Raw genomic sequence first — 27,312 nt, 5'->3', positions numbered from 1 at the left:
AGCTCCCCTAGGGGAGGATCTTTGGCTTTTTTGTTCACTAGTATTTCCTATCTACCTGGGGCAGTGCCTTATACGTGGTAGTTATCCTGAAAATATTTGTTGAATAAATTAATACACCAAGAAGATATCAAAATTATTAATATATAATTTTGGTGGCTTATTAGATTATTGCTTCCAATTCTTTACTCTCCCCATGTAAGAGAATTATATATTCATCCCCTTTACCATATAACTTTGCAGTGCCACCCTTGGGACAGGGTTAATTTGCCAGCCCTAATGATGTTGAGCTTAACCATGTGATTTATCTCAGCCAATGGAGTGTAAACAGAAGTAACATATACCAGAAGCTTTAAACATGCTTTTGTGGTGTGGCTTCCTCTCTAATAAATTCCCCTCTTAAGAAGAAAAGGCCCTGAGCAGTCACTGGTCCTGGAGTTAACAGAATATGGAATAAACCTAACCCTACCCAGCAGCCTGAAGCACAGCCACCCCAGCTGACCTACAGAGCTTTCAGCAAGAAATAAATGCTTTTTGGAAGCCACTGAGATTCTGGAGTTGTTTATTATCTCATATTGCACCAGAAACTTAATATAGCACAAAAACATAATAATAAAACTTCTAAGCAGAAAGCAAAATCTGAAAACTACATAAAGAAATTGACAAATCAGATCATGGTAAAAAAAATTTAACATACCTTTATCAGAAATTGATACATCCAAAAGGCCAGGCATGGTGACTCATGCCTATAATCCCAGCACTTTGGGAGGCCGAGGTGGGCAGATCACCTGAGGTCAGGAGTTCAAACCAACCTGGGCAACATGACAAAACTCTGTCTCTACTAAAAATACAAAAATTACCCAGGCGTGGTGGCGGGTGCCTGTAATTATAGCTACTCAGGAGGCTGAGGCACGAGAATCACTTGAACCTGGGAGGCAGAGGTCGCAGTGAGCTGAGATTGTGCCACTGCATTCCAGCCTGGGCAGAAAGCAAAACTCCATCTCAAAATAAATAAATAAATAAATAAATAAAAGAAATTGATACATCTAAATGGTAAAATAATTGGTATGGTTGTAGTAAGTTTGACAAAATGTGGTCCATTAGATATATAAATGGAATACTGCACCTAACATAGAATATGCATTCTTTTCAAATATATATGGGACAATATAAAAAGCAATGAAATACTTGCTCATGAAAGTTTCAACAATTTGAAAAAAAATAGTTTCACACAGCACATTATCTGAACTTACCAAATTAGAAATAATAAAAGGGATTTTTTAAAGTATTTTGAAACTAAAACTACATCCCTAAGTAACTCATGGAACGTAACTCATGAAACGAAGTCACAATGGAAACTTTAAACGATTTCAAACTGAATTGAAAGTGCAACATACCAACACATGTAGAATTGTGGAACAGTGAATGCAGTGCTTAATTCCTAGCCTTCGTAACATTTAACATGCTTTTAATTACACTTTTTTAAAAAAATGCATACATTTATATTAAATGAGTTAAGTTTTCAACTCAAGAAGCCAGATAAAGAACAAGGAAAACTGAAAAAAAAAAAAAAATTGTAGGGAGAATTTCACTTTCAACCGTGATAGACAAATAGGAATGGGATTTATCCTAACATCTTAAATAACTTGAAAAGCAGATAAAATATGAAACAATGGTTTTTAGACATCAAAAAACAGGCAGTGCTGGACAGTAATCCCAAAGAGAAGGGAAACAAATAAGGTAAGCCTTATGATTGCCCCAGGTCACTGCCTGAAGAGAATTTCCAGACTACAGTGCAAGGGAGAAAACAAAACAGAGTCCAGCAGCCTTCCTGACTTGAGAAGACAGAATTCAAAGTTTTAGGAGGTCAGGAGATACACACAGACAGCACCAGAGATCTGCAGTAGGGTTCCCCTCTATGTCTTTGCATGAGTGCAGATCTATACAAGCATGCAAGGAAGTTACCTAACACCAAAGAAAGAACCATTAGAAAGGAACAGGTGCAACAATGCTCACAGCTCACTTCTCATTAGGCGTAGTCCATGCTCAAACCAACAAGAAAGAAAGACTTCCTAATACTGGGAGCATCAAACAGAATCCTCAAAAAGGTATTTCCCCAGTAATGGGAGCAAATTAACCCTAGACTAAATCTGCTTTGGATTTACCTAACACTTAAAAACAAGCCTTAAAAACTATTTAATTCATTTCAACTAACTTAACTGAATCTCAGAATAAAGCCCAAAAATATCTAAAGAGATAAAATCCAGCAACCATCAGTGACCAGAATCCAATGGCAAATCACCAGTTAGGTAAGCAGGCAGGAAAATACAACCCACAGCCAGAGGGGGCAAAAATCAATCAACCAATCCCAGAAATGGCAGAGATTATAAATTTAACAAATAAGAATGTTAGAACAGCAAAATCAACTCCACACTTTAAGAAGACAGAGAAAAACATGAACACAAGGAAGATATAAGTAAGACTCAACTTGAATTTTAGGAGTGAAAATACAGGATATGAAATGAAAAATATTCTAAAAATAATTAGCATATTAGACACTGCAGAACCAAAGATTAATTTACTTTGAGGGCATAGCAAGAAAAACTATCCAAAATGAAAGAGTGAAAACAATGGGAAAACAAACAGGAAGGAATATTGGTGAGCTGCAGGACAATGTCAAAGATGAAGGAAACAAAAGCATTTGAAGAAATAATGTCTGAAACTTTAAAAACTTGATGAAAACTATAAAACTTCAGATCCGGAAATCTCATTGAAATCTAAGCAGGACACATGAAGAAAATTACACCAAGACACATCACAATCAAATTGGTGAAAAACAATGATAAAGATAAAACCTTAAAAGAAGCCAGAATCGGGGGTGGAGTGTTACATGTACAGCGGAACAAAGGAAAGAATGAAAGCAACTTCTCATCAGAAACCAGACAGACTTTAAGACAATGCTGTGACATCTTTAAAACACTGAAAGAAAAAACTGGCAACCAAGAGTTCCATACAAAGCAAAAAATATCTGTCTTTCAAAAATGATAGCTAAATAAAGACTTTCATAGACAGACAAATGCTGAGAAAATTCATCATCCAGAAAGAATTTTAATTTTTTCCCACTACAAGAAATACTAAGGGTAGTTCTTCAGGCAGAAATTAAATGACGCCAAATGGAAATGTGGATATACACAAAGAAAGAAGACATTTGAAAATTATTAATATGTAAAATAACCATTAAATATTTTTCTCATTAAAAAAACCTTTAAGAAGTAATTGTTTAAAACCAAACCAAAAGTTTGTTGAATGTATACTGTATTAGCGGTAAGTTTTACAATAGCAAGAGCCAAAGGATAGAAGAGGAAAATGAAAGTATACTGCTTTAAAATTCTTACACTCTATGGAAAGTGGTACATTTTGATTAAGTGTCCAACTGTAAATTGTTCATAATGTAATTGTAAACCCTAGAGAAAAATCTAATATATATCCAAGACTGGAGATAAAAATGAAATTATAAAAAAAATCAGCTTAACCAAAAGAAGGCAAGAAAATGGGGAAGAGGGAAAAGATGTAGAACATAAGAAACAAATAGCAGATGGTAGATAAAAACCTAACCATATTAATAATATTAATCACATTAAATATAAGTGGTATAAATAGTCCAGTTAAAGACACAGTTTGTCAGATTGGATTAAAAAGCAAGAATCTATTGTATGTTGTCCAAAAGAAACCCACTTTAAATATAAATACATAGACAGGTTAGAAATAAAATGAGAGAAAAATAAATTCCATGCCCATACAATCCAAAGAAACTTTCAGTGGTCATAGTAATATCAAATGAACCAGATTTCAGTGCAAGGAATATTACCAGAGTGAAACAATGTAAATATATAATGATATAAGTTTCATTCATTAAGAAGACATAATAGTCTTCTATGTATATGCAAATAATAACAGATCCTAAACATCTGAAGCAAAAAAGTGTTAAAACTGAAAAGAGAAATGGAAAATTTCACAATTATAGTTAAAGATTTTAAATGTAGACCAAGTAAAAAGAAAATCAGTAAAGGTATAAAGACTTGACCAATATTTTCAATTAACTTGAAATCGACATTTAATAAAAATCCCACCTAACAATCTTTATAATTGCACACAAAACATGTGCCAAAATAAATCATATTCTTAACCATAAAACCAGTCCATATAGATGTAAAAGAATTCAAGTCATACAAAGTATGTGCTATGAACACAATAGTTAAATTAGAAATCAGTAACAAACAGATATCTAGAGAAACTCAAAGTATTTGAAAATTAAACATACACTTCTAAATAACTAAGGGTAAAAGAAGAAATCACAAGGGAAATAGAAAATATATTGAACTAAATGGAAATTAAAAGGCAGTGTATAAAAATTCATGCAATATATAGAAAGTAGTGCTTTGAGGGAAATTTATATTATTAAGTGCTCTCATAATAATGTTATAAACTTTTACATTAAAACACTTTGAGAGTAAATTAAACATTGATAAGAATAAAGAAAAATAATAAAAATCAAAGCAAAAAATAAATAAAATAGAAAAGAAACAATAGTGAAAAATAAAAGAACCCAAAATCTGGCTTATTGAAAAAACCCTGCAAGACAACTTAGGCAATACCATTCAGGACATAGGCATGGGCAAAGATTTCATGACAAAGATGCCAAAAGCAATTGCAACAAAAGCAAAAATTGACAAATAGGATCTAATTAAACTAAAGAACTTCTGCACAGCCAAAGAAACCATCAACTGAGTAAACAGACAACCAACAGAATGGGAGAAAATTTTTGCAAACTATGCATCCAACAAAGGTCTAATATTTAGCATCTACAAGGGACTTAAACAAATTTAAAAAAAAAAAGCAACCCCATTAAAAGTAGGCAAAGGACATGAACAGATGCTTGTCAAAAGAAGACATACATGTGGCCCACCAGGCGCGGTGACTCACGCCTGTAATCCCAGCACTTTGGGAGGCCAAGGCAGGCGGATCACGAGGTCAGATCGAAACCATCCTGGCTAACACGGTGAAACCCCGCCTCTACTAAAAATACAAAAAATTAGCCAGGCGTGGTGGCGGGCACCTGCAGTCCCAGCTGAGGCAGGAGAATGGCATGAAACTGGAAGGCAGAGCTTGCAGTGAGCTGAGATCACACCACTGCACTCCAGCCTGGGCGACAGAGCGAGACACCGTCAAAAAAAAAAAAAAAAGACAACAATGTGGCCAACAAGCACGTGAGAAAAATGCTTAACATCATTGATCATTAGAGAAATGCAAATCAAAACCATAATGAGATACCATCTCATATCAGTCAGAATAGCTATTATTAAAAAGTCAAAAAATAACAGATACTGGCAAGGTTGTGGAGAAAAAGGAATACTTATATACTGTGGGGTTGGCTTTGTTCCTTACTCATTCACCTGACATGAGTGAAGGACAAAGGACATTCTAAGCCCGGATGTTTGCACTGGTGGATGATACCAAACATTTAAGTAAGAAATCATACCAATCCTTTGCAAAATCTTTCAAAAAATAGAAAAGAAAGATCTTCACAACTTGTTTTATGAGGCAAACCTTACCCTGATACCAAAACTAGGCAAAGCCGTAAAAGGAAAGGAAACTTACAAACCAGTACCCTTCACAAACATGAACATAAAATTCCTTAACAGAATATTAGCAAGTCCAGAAATATAGAAAGAAAATGTCATGTGACATTTAGGAATGCAGGTTGGCTTAACATTTAAAAATCTGTCAATATATGTCATCAATTTAGGAAATAAGAACAGGAAAGTTATATAATCATCTTAATAAAGGCAGAAACTCCATTTGACAGTCTTCATCTTCCTTTCATGATGTAAACTCCAAACTACCTAGGAACTACCTAGAAGGGAATTTCACCTTGACTTAAAAACTCCTATAGCTAATATCACACTTAAAAGCCTGAATGTTTTCCTCATAAGATCAGAAAACAAGGCAGAAATATTCACTCTTACCACTTTTATTCATCACTGTACTGAAGGTTCTAACCAGTGTAATAGATCAAGGAAAACAAATAAATGCATCTAGATTGGAAAAGTACTGCTGCCTTTATTCACAGATGACTTGGTCCTGTATGTAGAAAATCCTAAGGAATTCACAGAACTATTAGAATTTTTAAGCAAGTTTAGCAGGTAATAAGATACAAAATCAACATTTTAAAAATCAGTTCTACATGTTAGCATCGAACAACTGGACAAACAATACATGTTAGCATTGAACAACTGGAAACACAAATTTTAAAAATTATCTATAATATCATCATAAATACAGGCCAGGCGTGGTGCCTCACGCCTGTAATTCCAGCACTTTGGGAGGCCAAGGTGGTCAGATCGTTTGTGGTCAGGAGTTTGAGACCAGCCTGGCCAACATGATGAAATCCTATCTCTGCTAAAAATACAAAAATTAACTGGCGTGGTGGCACTCACCCAGCTACTCAGGAGGCTGAGGCAGGAGAATGTCTTGAACTGAGGAGAGGAGGTTGCAGTGAGCCGAGATCATGCCACTGCACTCCAACCTGGGTGACAGAGCAAGACTCCATCTCAAGAAAAGAAAGAAAGAAAAAAAAATGAAATACTTAGAGAAAATATATACAATACCTGTACACTGAAAATTATAAAATGTTTCTAAGGGAAATGTTTAAAGACCTAAATAGATGATGACATAGTCAGTGCTATGGATCTGATAGCTTAATGCTGTTAAGATGTCAGTTCTCCCAAAATTGATCTGCAGAATTAACACAATCCCAATCAAAATCACAATCGGCACTTTTTTTTTTCTTTTTTTTTTGAGACTGAGTCTCACTCTGTCACCCAGGCTGGAGTGCAGTGGCGTGATCTCTCACTGCAACCTCGGCTGCCCGGGTTCAAGCGATTCTTCTGCCTCCGACTCCCGAGTAGCTGGGATGACAGGTGCCTGCCACTGCACCAGCTAATTTTTGTAGTTTTTAGCAGAGACAGGGTTTCACCATCTTGGCCAAGCTGGTCTTAGAACTTCTGACCTCGTGATCCATCCCCCTCGGCTTCCCAAAGTGCTGGGATTACAGGCATGAGCCACCACGCCCGGCTACAATCGGCCTTTTTTAAAGAACGAAATTGTTCAGATTTGCCCTACCATATTTCAAGACATCCTCAAAAGCCACACAATCAACATAGTGATTTATGTAGAGACAAATAGATTCATGGAACAGAATAGTCAACTTTGACAATGGAATACTACTTAGCACTTAAAAAAAAAAAAAAACCCAAACTACAGATACATGTAACAACATGGATATAACTCAAAAGCATTATCCTAATTGAAGCAACCATACACAAAAGACAAAATACTGTTCATTTATGTTTATATGAAGTCTCAGAAAAAGCAAAGCTATAATAACAGAAAGCAGATTTGTAGTTGCCAGGGCTCAGGGAGAGAAAGGAGGGAATTAACTGCAAAAAGGCATAAGCGAACTTTCTGAGCTGCTAGAAATGTTCTGTATCTTGATGGTATCGGTGATCATACTACTGTATACATTTGCCAAAAGTCATTGAATTATACACTTAAAATTGGTGAATTTTATTGTATATAAATTATATTTCCATAAAATTGACAAAAAATAAAGACGGAAGCAATAAACATTGAAAAGTACAACAGGAATTCATGAAATAGAAAAATAAAAGAAAGTTTTATCTTTGATAAAACTAATAAAGTGGACAAATCTCTAGCAAGACTTACCAAGAAAAGGAAAGACAAACAAAAAATATTATGAGGAAAAGAGACCTGAACTACAGATAAGGTTGAGTGAATGCTATGAACACAAAAGAGGAAAAGCCCTCTCAGTAGGGTCATGTGGCTCAGTCATATGATGGCCTGCTGTTCTGCGGTTAAAATGAATGAACTGAATCTATGTGTATCTAAAAATCAGGGAAACATAGCTTTAAAATAAAATAACAAGTTGCAAAAGGATACACACAATTGTATTGATTTGCGTAGATGTTAAACAAACAATAGTATATATTATTTATGCATGCATACTCATACATGTATAGAAAAAAATTTAATATGGGAGATTTAGAATGCCAATTTACCAACTTCAAGATACTGGTTTCCTCTGGAAGGAAGAAAACTTGAAGGAATAGGAGACAGGGATACAAAAGGGAACTTTGGCTGTATCTTTATTGTTTTATTTCATTTGTGTTATGAAGAAACTGGCAAAAAGACAGAGACACAGCTGAAGGCAAAAAAAAGCAAAATATTATTATCTTTTAGGAATTATGGTGAGTAGGTGTCTGTTATATTAAATTTCTGTGCTTTTTGTATATTTTAAATGTTTCATAATTTGAAATAATTTGAGGGTTGACTAAAGCCAGCCATTACTATAAACTTCTGTATAGTGATCATATATGTGAATAATCTCACAATTGACATAGGTACTGGATTTATAGACAAGAGCCAATACATTTTAGTTTTATCAGTAAACTTTATCAGAAGTATTAACAAATTGAGAATTATATTGGTAGATTCTTAGTTATAATTCTTTACAGATTCCTGAAGAAGGCCAGAGTTAACACTAGTATCCACTAGATAATTTCAATATGTCACTAAATGGCAGATATCAAAGTCCATATCATGATTAATTGTTGCTAAGGGTGAATGAATGCCCTATGATCCTGTCCTTGCAAATAAGGTCAGAGAAATGTCTGTGCTTAGAAAAGAATCAATGTGATAAAAATCCAGCCAAGAATTAATTTTATCATGTCCTTCCTGTATCTTAGCACTTATCACTTTGAATCATAATTGCCTGTCTGTCTGTATGCTTGGCACACAGTAGGCACACAATAAATAATTAACTGGCTAACTACTCTCTAGGAAAGTAAGTTCCATGAGTAGAGGGATTGTGTCTGTTTATCCCTAGCTCCTAATACAGTGGACCTCGCATGGAGTAGGCACTAGCAAACATTTTTTGAATGGGTGTAGGGGGAGGTAAGATGCTGCTACTTCCATAACAATTTCCTAGATCTTCATCTGAAAAGATCTCTTCCTCTCAAATGTATAACTCTTCTTAGAATGTTTGACATGTTTCTTGTAGTTACTTGTATTTATGCATCATTTCCACAACTACATCGTATTACCTTTCAAGTTTCTTGAGAGCAGGGAGTATTTCCTTTGTGTAATTTATTACAGAATGATGGAAAGTGGAAAGCAGACGAATATCTTAAACCTAAAATTAATTCATTTAAACTTTTCTAAGTTCAGTGGAATTATATTGACCTTAAAGTAAGCAACTTCAAATCATTTAAAGTGAATTTCACTTGCATGAATTAAGTTATTTAGTAGCAAAGAAATGGACTATAATATGTCATGCCATGCCACCTACAGGGCTAGACTGCTTGTTTACTCAGCTATTTCCTGTTAAACCCTAATGAACAAAGACAGCTGCCAAACATTTTCTAGGTCATTTGTTCTGTTTGTAAACAGAAAGTGTACAATATTTAACAAGCTGTAATCATTTGCAAACTAGATTTATGCAGAATGAAAGAATTACAAAAGAGAGGAGGGAAATTAATGCAAGTCTTAAGTGCTTAATGACCCCATTAATTGAGAAAGAGGTAATTGGAGAAATTAAACAGAAGAGGTAATGGCCTTAGAGTCATTAACCTATTCTGAGAGTACTGCTAATGCTTACCAGGTGGTTTTCTTCTAAACTGAAAGTTGAGATTCAGTGTACTTTAATACAATAGTTCTTGAATCTGGCCAATCCTAAGAATCACCTGGAAAGCTTTTGAACAACACAAGTCCTGAGATCCTCTTCTTTCTTAATCAAAATCTTCGGGGTAGGGCTCAAGCATATGGATTTTTAAAAGCTGGCCAGGTGATTCTTTAGATTTTTTGATAAAAATCAGGCTCAATGTAGACATCATTGCTTTAGAAGAGGGTTTCTCAACCTTGGCACTGATACAAACAGGAGGCAGGGAAATACTAGGTAGAAAAGGGTGGGGTCCCTAGCAAGTGTTCCGCCCTCAAACCTGGGCCTGCAGCCCCAAACGAGAACTTCACTCCCTGTTTTCACGCCTGAATTCTGCCTTTTCAAAAACCACCCTGGCCCACCACACCCCCAACCCTGTACCCATAAAAAGCCCAAGCTCCATTGGCAGAGGAGCAGAGCAGTGCAGCAGAGGAGAGAAGAGAAGCGTCTGAACGTCTGCACGTCAGAGACTATGGTTGGAGAGGAGTTTGGCCATCCCATGCTGAACTCCAGGGGAAGATTATATTTCCACTCTATCCCATTTCCAGCTCCCCATGACACTGAGAGCAACTCCCATTGCTCAATGAAATCCTGTGCATATACCACCCTTCAATCTGCTCATGTGACCTGATACTTCTTGGACACCAGACAAGAATTTGGGATACACCGGGTGTGGGAATCCAAAAAGACTGACACTTCACTGAGCTGTTTTAACACTTAAGCCATCCGTGGATGGCAAAGCTAAAAGACCATTGTTTGTAGTACATCCCCTCCGGGGTTTTAGAGGATGCTGCCGCGGGCCAGTACACGGTTCATTCCTGCGGACACCCAAAGGCACTCACCCCAGCTCCTGCACCTGCTCACATTTGTGCTCCCCCTCCAGCAAGGGGTTTGAGCGTGGCGGAGGAGTAAACGAGCCACACACCTGTCGCAAGTTCTACAAAGGTGTCAAGGGAACTCTCCCATCTCAGCACTATTGACGATTTGGATGGCTAATCATGGTGGAGGCTGCCCTGTGCCTCGCAGAATGTTTAGGAACATCTCTGGCCTCCGCCCAGTGGTTACCTCCCTCCCCTAGAACCACCAAGGCCTAGACCTCTTCACTGCTGAGAAAGGAGGACTCTGCACCTTCTTAGGGGAAGTCGTTTTTACACTAACCAGTCAGGGATAGTATGAGATGCCACCTGGCATTTACAGGAAAAGGCTTCTGAAATCAGACAATACCTTTCAAACTCTTATACCAACCTCTGGAGTTGGGCAACATGGCTTCTCCCCTTTCTAGGTCCCGTGGCAGCCATCTTGCTGTTACTCGCCTTTGGGTCCGCGCCGCCTTTATGAGCTGTAACACTCACTGTGAAGGTCTGCAGCTTCACTCCTGAAGCCAGTGAGACCACAAACCCACAGAGAGGGACAAACAACTCCCAACGGGAGGAACGAACAACTCCGGACGCGCCAACTTTATGAACTGTAACACTCACCGCAAAGGTCTGCAGCTTCACTCCTGAAGCCAGCGAGACCACAAACCCACAGAGAGGGACAAACAACTCCCGACGGGAAGAACGAACAACTCCGGACGCGCCAACTTTATGAACTGTTAACACTCACCATGAAGGTCTGCAGCTTCACTCCTGAGGCCAGTGAGACCACGAACCCACCGGAAGGAAAGAACAACTCCAGACGCGCCGCTTTTAAGAGCTGTAACACTCACCGCGAAGGTCTGCAGCTTCACTCCTGAAGTCAGTGAGACCACGAACCCACCGGAAGGAAGAAACTCTGGACACATCTGAACATCAGAAGGAACAAACTCCGGACACGCCGCCTTTAAGAACTGTAACACTCACCGCGAGGCTCCGCGGCTTCACTCTTGAAGTCAGCGAGACCAAGAACCCACCAATTCCGGACATACTAGGTTATAAAAATCAAAATGTCTCAAGACATGGCCAGATTCTTTTGGGAGGTAAAAATCACCACCAGTTGAGAACCTCTGCTTTCATGCTATAGCACAACACTGTCTGATAGAACTTGCTGCAATAAGGGGAGCAGTCTCTGTCTGTACTGTCTGATACCAAAGCCATAAACAAAATCTGGTGATTGAGCCCTTGAAATGTGGCTAATGCTGGGCATGGTGGCTCACACCTATAATCCCAAGGCTTTGGAAGGCCAAGACAGAAGAATTGTTTAAATCCAGGGGTTCAAGTTTAGCCTGGGAAAAGTAGTGAGAACCCATGTCACAAAAAAAAATTTTTTTTTCACTTTTCTGGGCGTGGTGGTGTGTGCCTGTAGTCCCAGCTACTAGGGAGGCTGAGGCCAGAGGATTGCTTGAGACTTGAAGGTCAAGGCTGCAGTGAGCCATGATCACACCACTGCACTCCAGCCTGAATGACAGAGTGAGACCGTCTCTCAAAAAAACAAAAAAAAAAAGAAAAAAAAAGTAAGAAAAAAAGAAGTATGGCTAGTGTGATTTGGAATTGAATTTTAAATTTTATTTTATTTTAATTTTAAAAGCAGCACATGATTGGTGGCCATAATGTTGGACAGCACAGCTTTACAAGATTCAGATATGACTGTAGGCAATGAAATTGATACAATTTCCTCCTAAGTGCTTCTGAGACCTGCCATGTACAAATAATTTACAAGAATAGAAAATCTACCTAACCCCCTGTATGGATAAGAAAAATATCTTAGGACATTATAACTAAAAGAAAGTTTACTTGCAGTTTTGTTTTCTAAGGGCTACCTAGGAAATGTTTTTTGTTACCACCATTGATATCCAGATTATGCAGACTGGCTAGGGTTAGCCCCTTTCAGTCCCAAACACGATCTCCTTTTACTGTCCTTAACATTTTCTTCTGAAAAGTTCTCACTGTTGCCTGTTTTCTCTCAATTCTTAACTGGTTAAATATACAATTACCATATGACCCGCAATTTCACTCCTAGGTATAGATTCAAGACACATAAAAATATATGTTCACAAAAACACTTGTACATCAATGTTCATAATAGCCAAAAAGAGGAAATAACCCAAATGCCCATCAACTGATGAATGGATAAACAAAATGTGATATATCTATACAATGGAAATTTTTTGGCAATAAAAAACAGTGAACTACCTCTCTTACATGCTACAACACAGACAAACCTTAAAAACGGTATGCTGAGTGAAAGAAGCCAGTAACAAGCCACTACATACTATATAATTCCATTTATGTGAAATGTCCAGAATGAGGAAAAATCTATAGAGACAGAAAGTAGATTATTGATTGCCTAGGGCTTGCGTAAATGGGAGATGTGGTGGTAATGGCTATTGGGTATGGCATTTCTTTTGAAGGTGATGAAAATGTTCTAAAATTAAGTTGTGGTGACAGTTGCACAACTCTGTGATTGTACTAAAAACCACTGAATTGTATCCTTTAATTGTGTGAATTGTAGGGTACGTGGATTATATCTCAATAAAGCAGTTTAAAAATCTGTCAGTATAATCTATCATATTAACAGATCCAACATGAAAATCTACATAATCATACCAGTTCGTGCATAATATTTATTTTTGAAGTGGAAATGGCCTTTGGAAATGTTATTCCAAAAATAGTCTCTCCACTGGCTACCACTATTCTCATTTCCAGGAGAACCGAAGTGACCCTGCATTGTGTCCAAGCTTGGGCTGACAATGCTTGAGCAAGGCCCTTACTCAACAACAAATCATCCCACTCTAAAGGACCTACTATAGGTCCACAGCCTGCAACTGAAAGGTCCATCCTTGTAATTCCTGAGTTCTTTCAGCCTCTCCAGACCAGAGGAATAATGGACACGTGAACAATACCAATGAGAAAAGACAAAAAGATAAGAGGATGCCAATATCCAGTCTAATTTTGTCGTGAGCCAGGCTGGTCAGACCTTGTCCTGGATGGAAAGTGCTACGTCATGGAAAATAAACAGCTTCATCAGGGCATGAGAGGATGACATTCACTTTTAGGGGCTTGAGCTCTCTCTGTAGCCCCAGGTAGAGCCCATTCTCCAACTTTAAACTCACTCAACTCAGATAATTTTACAGGAAATGAATATGTTTCTAGGTTTTTTGTTATGAAGTGACATATCATACTGAAAATAAGTGCCAGGCTTATGCTGTGTGAGCACTGACAGTTCAGAATTCCTTGAAGTATACAGAAGGTAGGGAAGGGAAAATAGCAAATGTCAAGTGAAGTAAAATCTTACATAATGTAAACAAAAAAAAATTATCTAAAGCAATTATGCTGTTAGCCTCCAGAAGACATGTCACATGAAGCTAAACAATTTAAGTGGTTAGACGGAGATCTGTTTTGAAATTATATGAAGAGAAGGATATTGGAAGACACAAAGAACTGGCTTGTTAAAGAAAATCAGGTAGGGAGGAATACTAATTCAGCAGACAAAGCAGTGACAATAGATTTAAAACAGTGGCACAGGCCAGTGTATGAGCATTAACTCATTTCTGACCTTTCTTCCATTCACTGGGAATGCAGATGGATACACAGAGCTAAGTCCTTTGAAATGGTTCTGGGAAAAGTTTGATTTATTTAGAAGGCCAAGTGTCATCCTTAAGACAAGCTATGTCAACTGTGCTCTGAATTTCTTAAATCTAGATATAGTGGCAGCCTTCCCTGACCCTCACTGTCAGGCTGGATTAGGTACTGCCTCTTCTGCATTCTGACAGCACCCTGGATATACCCTTAGTATAGCACTTAATGTATTATTTTTGAGGATTGTTATTACCTGCCTTTCCCACTGGACAGCAAACTTCTCAATAACTGAGACTTATTGTTGGCATTCCTGTGGTTTTCAGTTATCAAGGGCATCTTATCAGAGTTTATAGGCAGGCAAAGTTTCTCATCTCTGGTGGGCAGTGTTTTACTTTCAGGTGTTCCATAGGCCAATTGGCTTCTTCCCAGATTAGGTAAATCAAAGGGTAATGCCATACCTGGACTCTACTGCAGACCTGGTGGTGAATCAGGCTGTTCTACAATACTGAGCTCCAGTAGTATTTGAGCTCAGCTCCAAAATGGATGCCTTCCACAAAACTGCTCACTTGAGCGGGTTCAATATCATTATATTGGCTTCCATTCCAATGTTTTTCCCTTGGTGTTGTCACAGAGACTTCAGGCATTGGAACTGCACCCCTTCCCCATAGGCACCCTGGTGAGCTTTTGTCATTCCAGCCATGTTTATGTAAGATGCTAAAGAAACAGATTGCTCAGGGACATTCATAGAGCCTGAAAGAATTCATGCACCTTCCCTGTTGCTTTGCATCATGGGAGGTTATGTCTAGGGGGCAGGATAATTTGGCTGTTGAACATTCAAATTTATGTCTCAGATCATGTACCCAGGTCCCAGATATGAAATCAGAAATTTTATGATGTTCCCTACATGCTCCACATCCCCAGACCTAATCCCACATCTTGTTGTCTTTTTTGTTTCTTTAACCCATTCGCTTTCTCTTAGCAGAACTAATCAATGACATAATGGATTATCTGAGCAAGAAGTGTGTTTTCATCAAAACTTCAGGTTATGATCTTTCCACTTATACCAACTAAATAAACATGACAGCAGACACAGTTTCTTTTCTCTGGACTGTCTGTGTCAGTGCTGACACTACCTCAGTTTGAAAAAAGAGAGCAAAAAATAAAGTCCACATGTGTCCCCAAGGTAGCACCAGCCTGTTTGAGATGGTAATTGTCACCAGAGCTATAAGAAGTCCTTTTGGGAATTCAATTCTCCTGCCCTTGCTACCTCTACGGATTAGAGAGAGGGAGATAGACATGCACTGTTCTTTATTTCTGGGAACACACACAGATGGACTTCGGATTGAAGAAATCTGTATTTGTCGAAACCTTTGACCAGAGTTATAAATCTATGTGCTGCGTGGCAGGGATGTCTTTGACTCTGGAATAAAGAACAAAGAGCATTTTCGTTAGTCACGCTGAGGAAAACACTGAAGAAGCAGAAAGCCTGGGAGTGTTGAGGCCACCCCACCTGCACTGGAAGAGCACCCTGCCTTCCCTTTTACCTTCTCAAGGAGAAGCTTCTCTGAGAGTTCTAGCTCCAACTCTGGGGTTTTGAACAATAAAACTAGTATCAAAATCATCCCCCAGACTCCACAAGTCCACTTTTAATGATGATAAGTTTAGACTTTTCATAGACGCATAAAACATCGAAGTAGCCAACCAACACCCTGGTGCTTTATTTCATTGTTGAGCTGAGTGAGTGACGAAGATCCAACATCAACATCACAAAGCCCCAAAAATTCCCACTATATTTGGCAAGATTCTTTAATATACATACATATTTTTTGGTTCACAAATATACTTTCATCATAGGGCATTTAATATAAATATAAAATATAAAATACTAATATAAAAGTATTAGAAAAAAATTTTCATACTCCCATCACAACACATTTTGTTTGTCATGCTCTTTTATGATTAAAGATGTAATTGACATGCTAAATCTTACAGAATAAAAAAGAATAAAATGTGGGTTTCAACTTTGGATTTTTAAATCCTGACATTTGCAGCTGATTTCATAAAACATTAAAGCACACTTGGACAGGGACCTTGTTTGAGATGGGTGGTATATTACAATAGGCTGTGAAAGATTGTGAAATCAAGCCAGCTCCATGGGAATGTGCACAGCACACATCTTCTGTGAAGCTCTGGCAGTGCCAAGAAATTCTTGTACTCCTAATTGGCCAAATCCTGCTTTCATCACTTGCAGATCATAGCCCACAATCAGTAGAGGGCTTCCAGAGGTGTATGATATTACCCCTGAGTGCTTATCACAGACACTAAAATTCAGGCAGTTAAACTCAAGAGAAAACAACTGGGTAGTGAAAACAGAAAAATGACTGACATTTGCGGATTTCTGTTGTTGATCCTGCACTGATTAGGACCAAGCAGGAGTCTCCAGCTGCCACGCAGAAGGAAAGAGGCAGATCTTTGAAGGATGGTTTCTAACAACTTGTGAAGTTACCTGGGGTTAGACGGGAGTTCTGGTAAGAATGAGGATCAGCAAGGTGCTAAGCCAGCTTCTATTGGCCTTAAATCCATGTATTTATTGAAATGTTACCTGGTTTGGAGTGATCTTAAGTTGTTCTGTAAGCTCTGTGGTACCCCACAGGCCATCTGAAGAAGTCTACTTAAAGATGTTGGCTCCCTGGATCTGGGATTGATGTGTACACCCCTGCCTTTTTCACCTTGCTTTACATGGCATTCTTAATTTTCAATTCTGAAATTTAAAAGAAAAAAAAAATAGCACTCTGCTGGCTTCAGTTTCATCATCTGTACAATGACGGGTTGGACGGGATTATCTCTGAGTAGTCTCCCCAGCTCTGCATTCTGTGCTCCATCATTCTAAAGACTAAATGTCCTGCATCAGGCAGGAACAGTGTGATCACTACTCCAGGTCACCACTGCTGACCTGTTGGAAAAGCTGGGATATTTACTAAAGTGACGCTTCAGTCCTTCAGTGATTGCCCCACAAAATCCAGTTCTTCACTTGTCATTTACTGTGTAAGAGGCTAGGGCCTATGACAAGGGGACTTCAAAGAAAGGAGAACAAAATAAAGCAGATGTGGGTGAGAGGCAATACTTTTGCTTTTTTGTGTTTTCAACAATTTGCTTCTTATTTTTATCTTTTTGAGTTTCAGATGCACATCACTTATGAACTGATTGCCACTTTTGTTTACTGCCTTCGTTTCTCAGCTAGCAATTTCTTAAATGATTTCTAGAATAGTTTTGTCTTAATTTCAACATTCTCCTGACAAGGTCTTTAGAGTGCTTGGAATGCACACTAATTTTCAAAAAGTTTTGTTATTTTAATCTCTAACAACTGTGAGGTGGAAAGCTCTAATTCCTTCTTTTGAGTCGTGAGGAAAGTGACATGCATGGATATTGAACAGCTCTAGACAGCAGAATTGGTCTTGCATTCAAGGTCACTGAATGGTGTACAATTACAGTTCTGAAGGAGAGAGGAGGGACTGCCCAGCATGAATAGAGTCACATGGATATCTAATTTCCCTACAGATTGCTCTAAGGCAGATAGCTCATTGGTGGCAGCATCTACATAAATACCCAGAGAATTTTATTTCTTCACCAGATATCTTCCTTCTACCCTTTTTGTGTTAAGTCAACTCCCTTGTCCCCACTTTATGACCCACCACTGACAACATGTAACATTTGGACATTGAAATTGTCCCGTTTAGGCTGGCACAGTGGCTCACGCTTGTAATCCCAGCACCTTGGGAGGCCGGAGGGGGGGGGGGGGGTGGATCACGAGGTCAGGAGTTCAAGACCAGCCTGACCAACGTGATGAAACCCCGTCTCTACTAAAAATACAAAAATTAGCCAGGTGTGGTGGCACGCCGCCTGTAATCCCAGCTACTCAGGAGGCTGAGGCAGGATAATCGCTTGAACCCGGGAGGTGGAGGTTGCGGTGAGCTGAGATTGCACCACTGCACTCCAGCCTGGGCGACAGAGTGAGACTCCATCTCAAAAAAAATAAAAAAAATAAAAGAAATTATCCCATTTAATTTCAGGCCAAAATTGCAAATCCTTCAAATCTCCCAGAAGAGCAGAAGAAAAACAACTCAACAATATTTAAGAAAGTTAACTGGTGAGGTTAACTCAGAACCCCCAGGTGAATTAGGTCATCTCTGTCCCCTCCCCTGAAGACCTCGTGAACTCTGAGGGTATGAAATGGAATTGAGAGTTGGGGACTGCATTCTCCAGAGATCGATGATGAAGGAGTTGAGAAAACAAGCTTCATCCCCTAACCCCAAAAAACAATTTACCTCACTAGTACAAAGCCATTTGGTAGAATCTGTGTTATAGAATCAGGTAACTTGAAGAAATGATGTGAAGTCATCCAGTTTATCCCCTACTTTCAAATAACTAACAAGGTTGCACTGAATTACTTCCTTGCCTTCAGACATGTACTAGGATGAACTCTATGGCGTTCTTCAGGACTTGCATTATTTCAAAAAGTCCTTTGGTAATCCTTTCCAATGTCTGACCAACACCAACCACCCAATTAATATCTAACCTAAACCCTTCCTGTTACTTATTTAAGTCATTTATTTTCTTTGATACCTTGGGAGACATGGGACAGCAGCAGGTCTCCTTTTCAGGAATCTTTCTCAATGCGTGAACTGCCCTTATTATAATGCAGAGTGAGTGAAACATTCGAGGGAGAATCTCAAAAACATGAATTGTTTAATTCTCAAATAATAAAGGAAATCTGGTAAAGTTATGGTTTTGACTTTTCCACCTACTAGCTCTGTGCTCTTGGACAAGTGATGTAGCATCTCTAAATATCAATGTATTCTTTTGTAATGTAGCTGTAATACTTAAACCAAAGATTATTATAAATATTCAAAAGCATAATATATGCAAAATGGTCAATTGTGAAGCACAATACCAATACTAGGTATAGTAATAATTATCAATTTGTCATGAGGATTAAGTCAGAAGAATCATGGTGAAATAACAATTGTTGAGAAAGTGTGGAGAAACTGGAACTCGGGCATTGCTGGTGGGAATGTAAAATGGGACAGCAGCTATGAAAGCAGTATTGCAGTTCCTCAAAGTTATTAAACATCGCCAGTGATTCCACTCCTGGATATACACCCAATAAGAGGTGACTCAAACAGATATTTGTACACCAGTGCTCATAGCAACATTATTCACAATAGCCAACAGGTGGAAATGATCCAAATATCCATTAATGACTAAACAGATAAGCAAAAAGTCATATACACTTACACACACACACACACACACACACACACAATGGAATATTCTTCAGCCTATAAAAATAATGAAGTTCTGACATACGTTAAAACATGGATGAACCTTGAGGACATTATGCTAAGTGAAATAAGTCAGACACAAAAGGACAAAGATTGTGTGATTCCACCTATATAAGGTACCTAGAGTAGTTGAACTCATAGAGACAGAAAGTAGAATGGTGGTTTTCCCAGGGGCTGGGGAGAAATTGTTTAATGAGTAGAGAGTTTCAGTTTGGATGAAAAGTTCTAGAGATGGGTGGTAGCTGTACAATAATGTAAATGTACTTAATGCCACTTAACTAGATAGTTTAAAATAGTTAAAGGGTAAATTTTATGTTATGTATATTTTGCCACAATTTTAAAAGGAAGCAATGGTCACTGCATAGTCCTTTCTTGGCAGAGGACTGCGGGATACCAATACAAAAGAAAAGATACAGGAGTTACCATTTTGTTAGGGATACTGGATAAATACATAAAACAATCAAGACTGATAGACAACTACTTTGTGATTCAAGGCTGCTGTAAGAGGGGAAAGGTGGGGTAGTGAGCATGCTGGATTGGAGTGAAAAAAGAAGGCTTGCTTCATGGACATGCAGACCTGGGTTATACACAGGTCTTTGATAGGCACAAAAAATAAAACAAAAACAACAACAAAAATCCTTGATTATTTTCAGGCCTCAGAAGCATTTTTCTAGCAACTAGTACTTTGGGCTTCACCCTGGAAAATCGCCATTTTCCTCCAGTACCAACTTGAACTCCAGGGATCCTGTGAAATATTGATTCATGAGCATTTTATATTGCATAACCCCTTCATGCCAAGGGACTGCCCAGAGAGCTAGAGAAATTCTAGCTAGACAATCTTAAATACATGTTTAAAATTGGGAACAGGGAGAAATGACATAGAGAAAATCCAAAGGCCAGGTATTGATTGACAAATTACCTGGGGTAAGCTGAGATAAGCAACAGTAAATCATTAATGTCACTAAAGACCTGCAGTTCAATCCTGCGGCACAGTGGTACAACGTTGCTGCTCTAAGCACAGTCTTTTCAGTGTGCCAAAAAAGATGAACCTCTGCTTTGCTGATGGCAGAAAGAGGTTATGAAAGTAGGTTTTTGTAGACAGGGTGACATCAGGCTGGGTAATATAATGAGAAGAGCACAGACTTATGTGACAGACAAATGTGGATTCAAATGTCACTTCTATCACTTGCTACCTTGTGAATTTGACAGTTGTTTCACATCTCTTAGCTTCTCATATGGAGAGTAATAACACCCACATCACTGGGTTTGGGACAAGATGATGACAATTTATATAATGTCCTTCACACATAAAGGACAATTTAATAATGAGAAAAAAAATAGCCATAAGGTTTTCAATGGAGGCAGCTATGATTACTTCTATATTATGATAAAAATATTATAATAGCGCTAATGTATATAGCACTAACATTATCCCCAGGACTATTGTAAATACTTTATGTTATAGACTCTTAACTTTGGAAAGATCCTGTGAGATAGAAACTGCGGTTATCCCTACTTTACATTTGAAGAAATTGAAGCACAGAGAGGTTAAGATATTTGCCAAAGTTCACAAAGCTAATAATTATTGTTGCTGGTGCAGTGATGTAGAGCAGAGAGAAAATTTAATAGGCTCCTTAGGAATGAATTCATTAGAGGAAATTAGAACCATAGTAAAAATACATCCCTCAAAAAGGCACCAGGCCCCAATAAATCATGATATATAAATTGTTAAAGACCAAAGAAAAAGCTGAAAACTTCCTAGTTTGCATCTAGCATAAACACAATGCAAAAATTGGACAAAAATAAGATGTAAAAGAAAACTATAAACCAATAAAACATTTTAATACACTTACAAAAATTATAAGCAAAGTCCAGCATTGCATTAAAAGGATACCATTTCATGGTCTTATTTAAATATATTTCTACTTCAAGGACTCTACTAAAAACATGAAACTTTAGTTTTAATAAATGAGATGATTGGAGAAGACAAAAGAAAATATCTTTAAATCCCTATGGCAGATAATAGAAAGGCTTTCTGTGGTCATATTAAGTTTCTATACAGCACTATAAATAAATAAAGACAATGAAATAGAAATTGCCATGTCAAATTAATATGATACTTTATTTCATACATAAGGCAATTAAAATATTTAAAGATGAAATGTACCAATTTTTATTACTTAAAGCTCTCATATTTTTGGTAATTTTAGAATTCAAAAGTTTTAATATTGATAAACACATAGTTAAGTATGTACATTTTCCCAATTAGTAATGAAAAAGAAATAGATCACCTATAAAGATTCAGGTTCCTTTTTGTTTGCAGTAAGACTATAATTCTAAAAAAGACTTTCATGAGTAAAATTGTACCTGAAGAATACCAAACATACTCCAGAGGAATGTGGTGTTGGCTCAGTTCCTTCCTCTTTCACCTGATATGAGTTACTGAAAGTAAAATATAGCCTGGAATACTTCAAAAATCCATGGAGAAATGGAAAGATATTCTACTTGTAAGAGACTGACATGAAGCATGCTATTTTAGTTTCTTATTGTACAAGCCATTTGATGAAGAATTTTATGAATTAACGGACTACTTAGGAAACATTAGAACAAGATATTATTAATCAAAACTTGTGAAATATAGAAAACTTTATAGCCCCAAATGCCTTCTAATTAAACAAAAAAATTAACAACCCTCGAAGTATTAGAAAGGGAAAAACAAAATAAAATCAAGGAAAGCAGAAGAAAGAAATAAAAATAAAAGCAAAAATAAATAAGTTAGAAAATGGTAAAATTGTGAAATCAAAACTCACATTCTTTGACAATACATGAGCCCTCAGAAACTGTAATCAATAAGAGCAGTGCATGGCAGGAATTTAAAAACTGATATAACCACTGAAAATTTAATAAAATTTAACAAAAATTAAATTAGAAGAGGGGACATAACAAATATTACAAATTTTAATGAAAAGAATGAATAGATCCATAACACTAGAGGAAATTAGAACCATAGTAAATATATATATATATATATACATGTCCTTCAAAGGGCATGAGGCCCTGATAACTCATGATATATAAATTGTTAAAGATTAAAGAAAAAGCTGATAAACTTCTCAGTTTGCATCTAGCATAAACTCAGTGACAAAACTGGACAAAGATAGGATAAAAAAGAAAACTATAAATCAATGAAACACTTGAACATACACAAAAATTATAAACAAAATGAAGTCCAGCATTGCATTAAAAGAATACCATCTTACGGTCATATTTAAATATAGTTCTACTTTAAGGACTCTATTAATGTAATAATTGGAATTTATTACATAGGAAGATTTAAGGGGAACAGCTATATGATATAGTTAACAGGTGTGAAAATCTTCAATAAAATTTAACACTCATTTCTGATTAAAACAACAACAAAGCCACTGGGTAAGTTAGAAATAAAAGGAATCTTCTTAACTCAAAAAGCATATCTCGGGCCGGGCGCGGTGGCTGACGCCTGTAATCCCACCACTTTGGGAGGCCGAGGCGGGCGGATCACGAGGTCAGGAGATCGAGACTATCCTGGCTAACACGGTGAAACCCCGTCTATACCAAAAATACAAAAAGTTAGCCGCGCTTGGTGGCGGGCGCCTGTAGTCCCCGCTCCTCGGGAGGCTGAGGCAGGAGAATGGCGTGAACCCTGGAGGCGGAGCTTGCAGTGAGCCCAGATCGCACCACTGCACTCCAGCCTGGGAGACAGAGCGAGATTCTATCTCAAAAAAAAAAAAAAAAAAAAAAAAAACTAAAGCAAACTGATACTTTCAGAAGCTTATTTCTCACTTGAGTGTAAGTTCAAGGCAAAACATTCAGCAGGCAACTTTCAAGTCCCCCATGCAGTCTTTCATGTCTTTAAGAACCCTGGCATCTCCTGGCCCCGTCTCTTAGAAACTTTTCAACTACATCCAGCCTTCAAAAAGGATGAAGTACATACGAAGGCTTCTATGGGCGTGGCAAGCATGGCTGTTGACACTGCACCAAAAAGAACTTAGTCGCCTGGCTCTACCTAACTGAAGGAGACAGGGAGATGGACTCTAGCTGTGTGCCCGAAGGGAGAACTGGAAGATTGTTTTGGTGGACACTTTGTGCTCTCTGCCACAGTCAGCTTCTCTGGCTACTATATATCTTCACATACTCTTCTTCACACTCATCTTTCCCCAAAGGGAGATGACCCCAAACCCCAGGCAGTTACTGAACTCATCTCAAAAGTCAAGAACTCAGGGCTGCACATTCCCGTACATCAAATATGGATGTGGTTTGTTATGATTTGATGAACTATCAAGTAAACATGTTAAATGCTCTTCTACATCTACCCACCCAAAACAAATTAGTGGAGCAGTAGAACAGCTGCAATAAAAACTCCTATATAGAAAAGGGAGAATGGAAAACACACGAAACCTCACCTCAAACCGAAAACTAAAGTCCTCATAGATCTATATCTGAACATGAAATATCTAAATATGAAAGAGTGAACCATGAAATTTCAGAAGGTAATACAGGAAACTTTTAAAATTGTGGAGTAAAAAGGCCTCATGAGCATGACACAACAACCAGAAATCTTAAAGTGAAAAATGAACAGATTTGTCCTCATTAAAATGTAAAACATCTGTGTCTCTGAAGATACCTGAAATGAAATTTAAAGGCACATGTAACAAGTATTTGCAAAGTAGGTGACAATTGCTTAGTATCCCTAATATCAATACAAAAGGGAAACAACACAAAATATAAATGGAGGCTTTCACTTTCAAGATGGAACACTAATTGCACGATGATATCCTCTCCTTTCTCAGCTTCTGTCCTTCCACTCTAAGCCTTAAGTTATTTTTTAAGTATATGAATGTATAGCTTGTTTTCTAAATTCAAAGAGATTTTTGGCTAATCAAAATGATGAGAAATCCCAGAAAGTCTAAAAGTACACAGGCTGTTTGCAGAGAGTAATTGTAGTCTGGAGTTTGTACTGGAAACTTTTAGAAAGTCCTGCCACAGAAGACGGGAGCATCACCAAGGGTGCCCATGCTTAGACATGGTAGAAGGTAGGACTAGACAGGAGGTGGAAGCTAAGGCAAATCATAAGAAAATGAGTTGAGGCATCCACTCTGGTCATGCCATGTACATCCCACTCTTTACCTCTCTACCAGTTCAAGTCTGTCTCTGCATAGGAGCCAGCCTAAGAATGAGGGGCAGGGTCAGCAATACCCATCTCAACTTTCCCTCATTCTCACTGAAAACAGTGAGGAGCACAAACCTCAAAAGCTGTTTCTATACCTCCCCTAAGGCTGGCTGTGGGAGTGAAAGCATAAGGAGTCTAGCGGGGAATTCAAATCACCAAGATGAGCCTACAGTCAAGAATCAACAATATTTAGCATGCAGCCTCCATAAAAAAATATATATAACAGCCCAACAGAATTACAACTTTGAAAAATTTAATAGATGATAAGAAAAGGACTTTTCTTAAGAAGCTTAATTAGTGTCTTCAAATATAGTATGGCATCAAAATAACGAATAAGGAGCTATCTGTGATAAAACAAACCAAAGTCAAACCCTGGAAATTTTAAAAAATGTAATTATTAAAATAAAAAATTCAGTAGATGCAAATAGAAAAATGAGAACAGCTGAAAAGGGAATTTGATATATAGAAGACAGAACGTAGGAATGTAGCACAAGGTGATAAAAAAAGTTGAAAACTTAAAAGACATGGAAGAGAGTTCTGTTAAGTCATAACTTCTAGCTAATAGCTAATAAAGAAAATAGAAGGGAAGTAAAATCTGAAGAAATAATAGGATGGAATTTCTTATAAGTGAAGAAAAATATAAGCCCTCAAATGGAAACAGTTCACCAACCACAGAGCAGGATTTAAACAAACAAACACATCACAAAAACAAAAGGCCCCACATCTGTACAAATGTAATGAGAATTCAGAGCATTAAGGATATAGTCAATATGTTAAAAGCTATAAGTATAAAGAGTAACTATTGAAGATTTCAGAGAGAGTGAAAAAAAGATTGTTTATAGTAATTCTAATCAAATTTGGCATAGATTTTTCATAGATAATATTGGATGAAGAAAAGACATTGGAGCAATACCTTCAGTTTGCTGAATAAGAAGAAGTTCAAATCCAAATTTCTATTGTCAGCCAAAATATCATTAATATGTGAGGAAGAAATAAGATGTTTTTCAAACATCCAGGGATTCAGAGTTTTATTTTTTTTTATTTTTTATTTTTATTTATTTATTTTTTTTGAGATGGAGTCTTGCTCAGTTGCCCAGGCTGGAGTGCAGTGGCGCGATCTCGGCTCACTGCAAGCTCTGCCTCCCGGGTTCACGCCATTCTCCTGCCTCAGCCTCCCCAGTAGCTGGGACTACAGGCGCCCACCACCACGCCTGGCTAATTTTTTTGTATTTTTAGTAGAAACGGGGTTTCGCCATGTTAGCCAGGATGATCTCGATCTCCTGACCTCGTGATCCACCCACCTCGGCCTCCCAGAGTGCTGGGATTATAGGCATGAGCCACCGCGCCGGGCCCCAATTCAGAGTTTTAATAACACAGCAGAATCTCTCTGAAAGCTGAAACTACTACTAGAGAATACACAAAGAAAATGAATCCAGGACCTCACGAGGAGCTGCAGTGGTTAGCAAAGAAAGCCAAAAATCTATTTTTCTATGAAATATAATTGCAAAACTATATTTAATAAATACTCTGTGCCAAAAATTCCAGGTTATTTCAACATGGGTTGTGGAAAATAGAAGTGTAGGTGCTGATGAAGAATTTAGGGAAAAAAGCATTCTAAGGTTCATCAAAAGGGGACAATGGACAGTGATTATAGATACTATTAGAAAATACAAATTCAACCACTTGTGACTAAAAAGTTAATATAACCACTGGAAGAATAAAGATAGAATATAGTTTTCAAAACAGTACATGAAAAGTGGAACAAAGAAAATTTCATTAATCCCTGAAAAGGCTGGGAAGGGGAAACAAGAAAACAAGAAAGAAAGGAAGGTTAAAATGAAAACACAAAATAAGATGGCAGGAGTAGGTTTAAATATATATTTTTAATAACCATAAATATGGCTTGAACCCAGGAGGCAGAAGCTGCAGTGCGCCGAGATCGTGCCACTGCACTCCAGCCTGGGCAACAGAGAGAGACTCTGTCTCACAAAATAAATAAATAAATAAATATGAATGGGGTAAATTTGTTTCATAAAAGGTAAAATATCAGGTTGGATTTTTAAGACTCCGGCTAAGTGCTGCTTACTGGAGAGAGCCAAAACCATGATGATTCCAAGTTTGAAAGCCTACACCTGGCAGGTACTAACAGTAGGATGGGAACAGCAACATCAGTATCAGACAAAATAGAATTGAAAGTCAAAGCATTAAAAGTATCAAAACAGGACATTTCATATTGTCAAATAATTTACCAGCAAGATATAATGATCATGAACCTAAAATGCCTCAATATCATTTTGAAATACCTAAAAAGTTAGTAAAATCACAAAAGAAAATTAACAAATACACATCACATCATAGTGGTCTGTTACAGTCTGCTACTATGATATACTATGAATAAAAATATAGAGTATTTAAATATAAAATTAACAAGGTTATCCTAATAGATATACATAGAACTTACACCTAACTGAG

General features: G+C 37.6%; 2 long non-coding RNA genes across 3 annotated transcripts in view, besides 20 other annotated features; one reads left to right on the top strand and one right to left on the bottom strand.

Moving 5' to 3' along the window:
- Positions 11,387-12,710: a matrix attachment site, noted in NCBI's record as "HpaI/NdeI fragment for 5' MAR". NCBI's record gives its function as "associates with the nuclear matrix" and the evidence as "EXISTENCE:fractionation evidence [ECO:0000100][PMID:11389587]".
- Positions 11,387-18,586: a biological region, named in NCBI's record as "APOB intestinal control region". NCBI's record gives its function as "regulatory_interactions: APOB | LOC106560211".
- Positions 13,938-15,536: an enhancer blocking element, noted in NCBI's record as "1.8 kb EcoRI fragment". NCBI's record gives the evidence for it as "EXISTENCE:reporter gene assay evidence [ECO:0000049][PMID:11389587]".
- Positions 13,938-15,536: an enhancer, noted in NCBI's record as "1.8 IE; EcoRI fragment". NCBI's record gives its function as "enhancer in intestine" and the evidence as "EXISTENCE:transgenic organism evidence [ECO:0001131][PMID:11389586]".
- Positions 13,938-15,536: an insulator, noted in NCBI's record as "1.8 kb EcoRI fragment". NCBI's record gives its function as "insulator in fly transgenic reporter model" and the evidence as "EXISTENCE:transgenic organism evidence [ECO:0001131][PMID:11389587]".
- Positions 15,046-15,536: an enhancer, noted in NCBI's record as "485 IE; EcoRI fragment". NCBI's record gives the evidence for it as "EXISTENCE:reporter gene assay evidence [ECO:0000049][PMID:11389586]".
- Positions 15,071-16,071: a DNaseI hypersensitive site, noted in NCBI's record as "DH1 and DH2; the nucleotide coordinates are approximate for this feature". NCBI's record gives the evidence for it as "EXISTENCE:in vivo cleavage assay evidence [ECO:0001075][PMID:10859308, PMID:11389586]".
- Positions 15,080-15,111: an enhancer blocking element, noted in NCBI's record as "CTCF site". NCBI's record gives the evidence for it as "EXISTENCE:reporter gene assay evidence [ECO:0000049][PMID:11389587]".
- Positions 15,080-15,111: a protein binding site, noted in NCBI's record as "CTCF site". NCBI's record gives the evidence for it as "EXISTENCE:protein binding evidence [ECO:0000024][PMID:11389587]".
- Positions 15,331-15,354: a protein binding site, noted in NCBI's record as "485 HNF-4/ARP-1 oligonucleotide". NCBI's record gives the evidence for it as "EXISTENCE:protein binding evidence [ECO:0000024][PMID:11389586]".
- Positions 15,531-15,851: an enhancer, noted in NCBI's record as "315 IE; EcoRI/HindIII fragment". NCBI's record gives its function as "enhancer in intestine" and the evidence as "EXISTENCE:reporter gene assay evidence [ECO:0000049][PMID:10859308]" and "EXISTENCE:transgenic organism evidence [ECO:0001131][PMID:10859308, PMID:11389586]".
- LOC124905593 (uncharacterized) overlaps positions 15,581-27,312 on the bottom strand; it is a 27,037-nt gene continuing 15,305 nt past the window's right edge. Inside the window, exons 2-3 of one of the 2 annotated variants that reach the window (XR_007088660.1) lie at positions 16,892-17,050; positions 15,581-15,709 (exon numbers count right to left, since the gene is read on the bottom strand). This is a non-coding gene — a long non-coding RNA (uncharacterized LOC124905593). Of the gene's footprint in view, positions 15,710-16,706; positions 16,796-16,891; positions 17,051-27,312 lie in introns of those variants that run through there. The other variant, XR_007088659.1, reaches the window with a different exon arrangement.
- Positions 15,588-15,607: a protein binding site, noted in NCBI's record as "Site 1". NCBI's record gives the evidence for it as "EXISTENCE:protein binding evidence [ECO:0000024][PMID:10859308, PMID:11244563]".
- Positions 15,625-15,650: a protein binding site, noted in NCBI's record as "Site 2; C/EBP alpha and C/EBP beta may compete for binding". NCBI's record gives the evidence for it as "EXISTENCE:protein binding evidence [ECO:0000024][PMID:10859308, PMID:11244563]".
- Positions 15,715-15,736: a protein binding site, noted in NCBI's record as "Site 3". NCBI's record gives the evidence for it as "EXISTENCE:protein binding evidence [ECO:0000024][PMID:10859308, PMID:11244563]".
- Positions 15,741-15,764: a protein binding site, noted in NCBI's record as "Site 4; C/EBP alpha and C/EBP beta may compete for binding". NCBI's record gives the evidence for it as "EXISTENCE:protein binding evidence [ECO:0000024][PMID:10859308, PMID:11244563]".
- Positions 15,846-18,586: an enhancer, noted in NCBI's record as "2.7 IE; HindIII fragment". NCBI's record gives its function as "enhancer in intestine" and the evidence as "EXISTENCE:reporter gene assay evidence [ECO:0000049][PMID:11389586]" and "EXISTENCE:transgenic organism evidence [ECO:0001131][PMID:11389586]".
- LOC124908055 (uncharacterized) lies at positions 16,729-19,068 on the top strand. Its single transcript, XR_007088661.1, has 2 exons — positions 16,729-16,817; positions 18,360-19,068. It is a non-coding gene; the product is annotated as an uncharacterized LOC124908055 (long non-coding RNA).
- Positions 17,027-18,066: an enhancer, noted in NCBI's record as "1031 IE; StyI/StyI fragment". NCBI's record gives its function as "enhancer in intestine in whole animal transgenic organisms" and the evidence as "EXISTENCE:transgenic organism evidence [ECO:0001131][PMID:11389586]".
- Positions 17,027-18,066: a DNaseI hypersensitive site, noted in NCBI's record as "DH3 and DH4; Sty I/Sty I fragment; the nucleotide coordinates are approximate for this feature". NCBI's record gives the evidence for it as "EXISTENCE:in vivo cleavage assay evidence [ECO:0001075][PMID:11389586]".
- Positions 18,061-18,421: an enhancer, noted in NCBI's record as "356 IE; StyI/SspI fragment". NCBI's record gives its function as "enhancer in CaCo-2 cells but not whole animal transgenic organisms" and the evidence as "EXISTENCE:reporter gene assay evidence [ECO:0000049][PMID:11389586]".
- Positions 18,416-18,586: a silencer, noted in NCBI's record as "165 bp SspI/HindIII fragment". NCBI's record gives its function as "reduces reporter transgene expression in CaCo-2 cells" and the evidence as "EXISTENCE:reporter gene assay evidence [ECO:0000049][PMID:11389586]".

The sequence above is a fragment of the Homo sapiens genome, chromosome 2 (assembly GCF_000001405.40).
Source record: "Homo sapiens chromosome 2, GRCh38.p14 Primary Assembly".
Taxonomy (NCBI): Eukaryota; Metazoa; Chordata; class Mammalia; order Primates; family Hominidae; genus Homo; species Homo sapiens.
Note: the sequence above shows the minus strand (reverse complement) of the source record. Positions and strands in the feature narration are given on the sequence as shown.